A 6000-nucleotide genomic window follows, 5' to 3' on the forward strand; every position below is an offset into this window, starting at 1 on the left:
AAGGAGTAGAGATACTGCACATTTTCTTGTCTAAGTCAGTTATGTGATTCTGTTCCCCTTGCCAGTGATTGGTGTGAGGTGGGCATGTGACACAATGATGGCCAGTTAGATAGAAATGGAAGTTCATTGGGGGGTGTATAAGTCCGTTCTCATGCTGCTATAAAGAAATACCCAAGACTGGGTAATTTATAAAGAAAAGAGGCTTAACTGACTGACATTTCCTTATGGCTGAGGAGGCCTCAGGAAACTTTTAATCACAGCAGAAGGCACCTTTCCACAGGGCGGCAGGAAGGAGAATGAGTGCCAGCAAGGGAAATGCCAGACGCTTATAAAACCATCAGATCTCATGAGACTCACTCATTATCACGAGAATAGCATGGGGGAAACTGCCCCCTTGTTCCAGTTACCTCCACCTGGTCCCACCCTTAACACATGGGGATTATTACCATTCAAGGTGATATTTGGGTGGTGACACAGAGCCAAACCATATCAGAGGGCTTTGGGAAGTTTTTTTTCTGAATGTTAAAGATGGGATATACAACACTGATGTATGCTTTTTTTTTTTCTTTACTTGAATGTTGTGTGAAGATGAGAACCTCAGAATTGCTGCAGCCATCTTGCTACCAAGGCAGAACAAATGAGAAAGTCAGTATGCTAAGGAAGGCAGCTGAGGAAGGAAGAAAAATCTTGGGTTCCTGTTGACATTGCTCTGTCCCTGAAATCTTCTACCTCTGAATTTCTTGTTATGAGGCAATAAACACTCCAATTCTTTATCTCCTTTTTTTGTTGAATATCTAAACTTAGAGCCAAAATCATCCTAGCTGGTTTAACCTATAATCAGATTTCAAAATGAAAATGAGTTTTTCCCCTTCTTATAGGGGATAAATAACTCAGAAAAGTGAAAACTGCTACTTAGATAAATGCGGCATTTATACCACCTCTTATTCACTTTATGTACACACACACACACACACACACACACACACAGAGACACACACACACATACAAATCCTGCCAAGTGCTTTAACATGACTGTTCAGTGCCTTGCTCACATTTGGATTAAGAGTTTGGAATTAATTTAAATATCCACCAATATGAGTATAGTTAAATATGGTATATAATAGATAACGGAATAGCAGGCAATAAAGAGCATAAGGTAGATCTACATGAATTTTATCTGTAAAAGTCTTTAATATATATATTTAGTGAAAAAAGCAAGTTGCATACCTATGTACACAATATTTCACATTTGTGCCTATGTATAAATGTTAAATGATATTTTCATTTATATGTTTATTAATAGAAAAAGTTCTAGAAGATTTAACAACAAATGGATGGTGGTCATTACCTTTGGGAAAGGAGCAAGACTGAGGGATGTAAAGCGGTATTTTTAATTTTTACTCTATATATTTAAGTAACATTTGAATTTTTATTGAAATAATTTATTCATGTTCTATTTACATAATTAAAAGCATAAACAATTCACAGGTTTTGTCAAAATATTTTCAATTCATTTTGCCCTTGTGATGTCACTTCCTACCTAGTCCATCAAACAAAAATATTCATACATAATTTACTTTCTTTTTTATTAATATTTTGAACAATATATAGGTTTATGCTTTTTATTTTTTTTTCCTGTGGAGCACATACCACTCTCCCATCCCCCAACGCATACCTTCTAGGACCACATCGCCCTTTTGTAGGACTTCTCTAGTGTGTAGAATCTAGAAAGGATGGGTGTTCCCTGACTTCAGACTTCCACTTCTGGTCTTTAGTCTGCAGGGCTGAATCCTTAGTTCAGCCAGGAGTCAGAAGTGCTTTTTTCTGGGACTTTTATGTGAGTGATTCAGATGGAAAGAATGTTTGGCGTCAGATCGGTCACAGAAGAAACTCGAGGACCAGACCTTCCCTGTGGTGGGACACGAATCCTGCCTATGCTGTGCAGCCTACTGACCCGTTTGAGTTTCTGTCTGCTCTCCAAGCCTGGTCCTGGGAGTCCTTGATAGCCTTCTAAATCACTCATTTTTTTTTTCCTTTGGATAGCTGAGTTTACTTTTCTTGCTTTCCGCCAAGAACTGACTGATATAACTAAGATTAAATAAAACAAACATGTCTTGTTTTTTTCTATGTGAGATGATAAATAATCACTAGGAACTTCCTATGGGAAAAGACTATAGAATATGAATGTCCTCAGCAAAGTTTTAATTTGTGATTTCTGCAGCAGCAAGCCAGCTCTGGGTCTTTCTCTATTTAATCATAGTAATGATGATGCATTGTTCTTTTACATCCATCAGGCTGCTTTCACCTTTGGTTACATGGGGAAGGAACAGAAGTCCTAAAGATAATAAATGGAAATATTTTTTCACCTGGAGTTTAACTCTTTTAAAAAATTATATTTGTAACCTGCTTTACAGTGATTGATTATAGATCTATAGAATGGTTGCCATTGAATTTAGTCTCTGAAGAGAATTCAGTAATTATCTAGGAGCATTCCCTCAATTTATAGCTAAGAAGCTGAATCCCCCAGTAGTTAAGAGACTTACCCAAATCACATAGCAACTTAAAGGCACAAAATTAGGCTTAAAATTCATGACTTCTGAATCTTAGTAAAAAATTCTTTCTCTAGATGTCACTCTCCAAAGATTTCATGATTTAAACAAAAGGAATGATGAATGAAATAGCCACTTTTCTTTGAAAAGAATAGTAAATAAATTCATAATAATACTTTTTGGACTATGGCTAAATAATATTCCACTCAGTATTTGCTTCAATTACCACCTATGTTGCTTTGATTAGCATGTCTGGTAAACTCTGTCTTTAGATAAGAAATAGAAAAAAGTGGAATACATTTTTGGATGATTTTTTATCCCCTCTTTTTCTTAATTATACATCTTAAATATATTCTTTTTCTTACTATATTGAAGGTGGTTACATAAGCAGAAAACGCATGTCTGATATATCACCATTCTTTCTGAATGCGTGACTTTTGCCTGGAGCCCTGCAGAGTGCAGCTAACTGGGAAGTTTTAGTGCTCCGGGGACAGTTGCTATATCTCCAGGCTTGGCTATTTCATATTATGTTTCCTTTCTGTGTGTGTCTTGCCTCCTGAATGAGATTGTGCTCTCAGGGGGCCTTTAGCAAATTAGTTTTGGTGGCTTAACTTTCATTCAACATATATGCACCGAGCATCTACAACCTGTGCTGTGTACTGTGGTAAGAATTAGTGGCACAAGTAGGAGAAAAACCTCCTGCCCTCAGGGAACCAACACTCTATTCAGAGCAATGTGTATTTTAAAGTGACAGATGATAAGAAATAATACACAATTAAACAAAGTAGGATACTGAGCTCTCTTAAAAATTTATTATTATATCCTTAAGAACTGAGATTAAGAAGTTCTGTTAAGACATTCTAACTAGTACTTTGGGCAGCCTGGAGGGGACTCTCCAGCAGCCTGCAAAGACAATTATGCTGGTAAGTAAGACAAAATGTATTCCTGTGAATAATTAAAATAATTAAACTGTTTCTAATGTACATTAGTCATTTAATTTCTGATTTTTGCAAGACAGAAAGGATATCTGTTTTTAGCAAATGCTTAGAAAAGGTCAATGTGAGCCAAATGGCAGCAAATAGGCTGACAACTCTGTGAAGGTGAAAGGAAAATGGGTAACATAAACTGTAGAATGATAGGGCTGACATGCTAGGGGCTTAAAATCACCTTTGTCTTGGCAATAATATTCAAAGGCTCCATGTTTTTTATTGCTGTACAGTTTCATTCATTTATTCAGCACATCCTTTGAGCACATTTTTTTGGAGCAGACACTGTTCTAGACACTTGAGATACCTCAGGACAAAGATGCCTGACCCTGTGGGCCCACATTCTCAGCAGGGGAATATAGGAGATAAGCAAAGAGCATAGTGAATATGCAAATGATATAGTATGTTGAGGGATATAAAGGCTAGAAAACAAAAAGGAGATGTGGGCATAGTAAGAGGGATTAGCAATACTTGAGTGGAGAGTTTATAAAGTGTTCACAATAGGACTCCTTAAGATAGTGACATTTGAGCATTGCTTGAACAAGATCAGGGAGTTTACTACATGCAGGAAGATCATTCCAGGCAGATACCGTAAGTGCTAAGATGGATACAAACATGCCAGATAGGCTGGAACAGAGCGAGGGAGAGGCAGTGGGTTGGAGATGAAGTTAAATCATATAGCACCTTTCAGTGTGGTGTAAGGACTTTCGCTTTTACTGTAAGTGAAATGTGGAGCCACCAGAGCAATCTGAGCAGAGGAATTACATGATCTGATTAACACTTAGAAAAGGATTAGTCTGATAACTGTGCTGTGTATACACTGGAGGGCAATGGTAACAGCAGAGTCCAGCAGAAGGTGATGGCCCAGTCTCAGATAGAGAAGAGGATAGTGCAGATCCGGTGGGTGGCAATTCAGGTGTTGAGAAGTAGTACGTTTCTATTTACATTTTGAAGGCAGAACCAATAGGACATGCTGATGATAGACGTGTGATGTGAAAGGAAGGGTCAAAGATGACCCTAAGATTTTTTCCTAAGAAATCCCATTAATTCAGGTGGGAAAAGTTATGGATGGAGCAGATGTGAAAGAGATGGTGAGTTTAGTTGTTGGCATGTTGAATTTCAGATGTTAATTAGATATCTATCTGGACATGTTAAGTAGGCTGCTGGATATATAACTTTGGCATTCAAAAGAGATGTCTGGGATAGAGATATAAATGTAGGAGTTGTTGGCATATAGATTTTATTTAGGATGCAACACTGAATGCAGTCAGCAAAAGAGTGAGCATAGATAGAGAACAGAAGAGGATCAAGTAATAAACCATATGGCACTTCAACACCAAGACATCAAGAAGAAAAGAAACCCTTACAAGAGAAAAAGGAGTAAAACAGAAATGTAGGAGAAACCCAAGACTGCGAGTCCCAGAAATGAGTTCTGAGTACTGGTTTCTGAGGTTACTTTGAAGAAGTTTTGAAGCCTCCAGTTAGTGAATTGAAGAGTTAGGTTGACTTGTTAGGCCAGGCGTATACAGATGAGACCAATTGAAGGGGATTACCTCCAAATAAGATATTTTTTACTTTTAGTTTCCTAACAGAAAAAAGGGAGAAAGGAACAGGTAACAGGCTTTTTAACAGAAAAACCTATCACAAGATGGTTTTTTTAAACCGGAAATCCATATAGGATTTGAGTACATCTCCTGGCACAGGATCAGTATTCGATTTGGGACAGTGCAGAATTTTGACACAACAGTGACTGGCTAATTCCACTGAATTTCAGGATTCCCTCATGTTTGTCTGCTATTGTCACGGCTGCGGGTTACCTCCAGTACTGAAGAAGATGGATTCCAGCATCAATTCAGATAGAAATAATATTGGGAACAGAAAGGTGAAGTCTAGGATATTTGAAGAGGCTTGTGTACACTAATGTGGGGATCGGGGGTGGAGACTTTTAGATGGCAGAGGTTGATATAGCATCAAATTATGCTTATATAATAAAGGAAATGCAAATGCAACCAATGTCCTTTATGTTGCAGCAAATATTTTTCTTTTGGATGCAGGACTCAGCAATAATTCAACTGAATGACATTACTGGGTCACAGCGTTGATCCTCTAGGCCAGGGTCAGTTCCTTGGGCCCCCTGCTTAATATGTCTTAGTAGGGTGGGAATAACTATCACTCACCAGGATCCAGTAGAGTAAACCATGTGGACCTGTTTCATGGAAAATTGTATCTATTAAAAAGCTATGTATCTTTCCTAGCTTGTTTTTTGTAGCTTTTCTCCTCTATGGCCGAGGTGAGTGAATGAAGTGAAAGGGAGAAGGGACAGTGTTTGAAGTTAGAGCACTTTCCCTAAAACAGAACGTTGTAAAATATATTTAAATTTTTAATTATATTCCAGGATCCATATTATTATTTGCTTTAATAAGTAAATAATGTATGAAATACCTTTCCAAAGAGTAAAATTGAGA

This window comes from Homo sapiens, chromosome 14 (assembly GCF_000001405.40).
Source record: "Homo sapiens chromosome 14, GRCh38.p14 Primary Assembly".
NCBI lineage: Eukaryota > Metazoa > Chordata > Mammalia > Primates > Hominidae > Homo > Homo sapiens.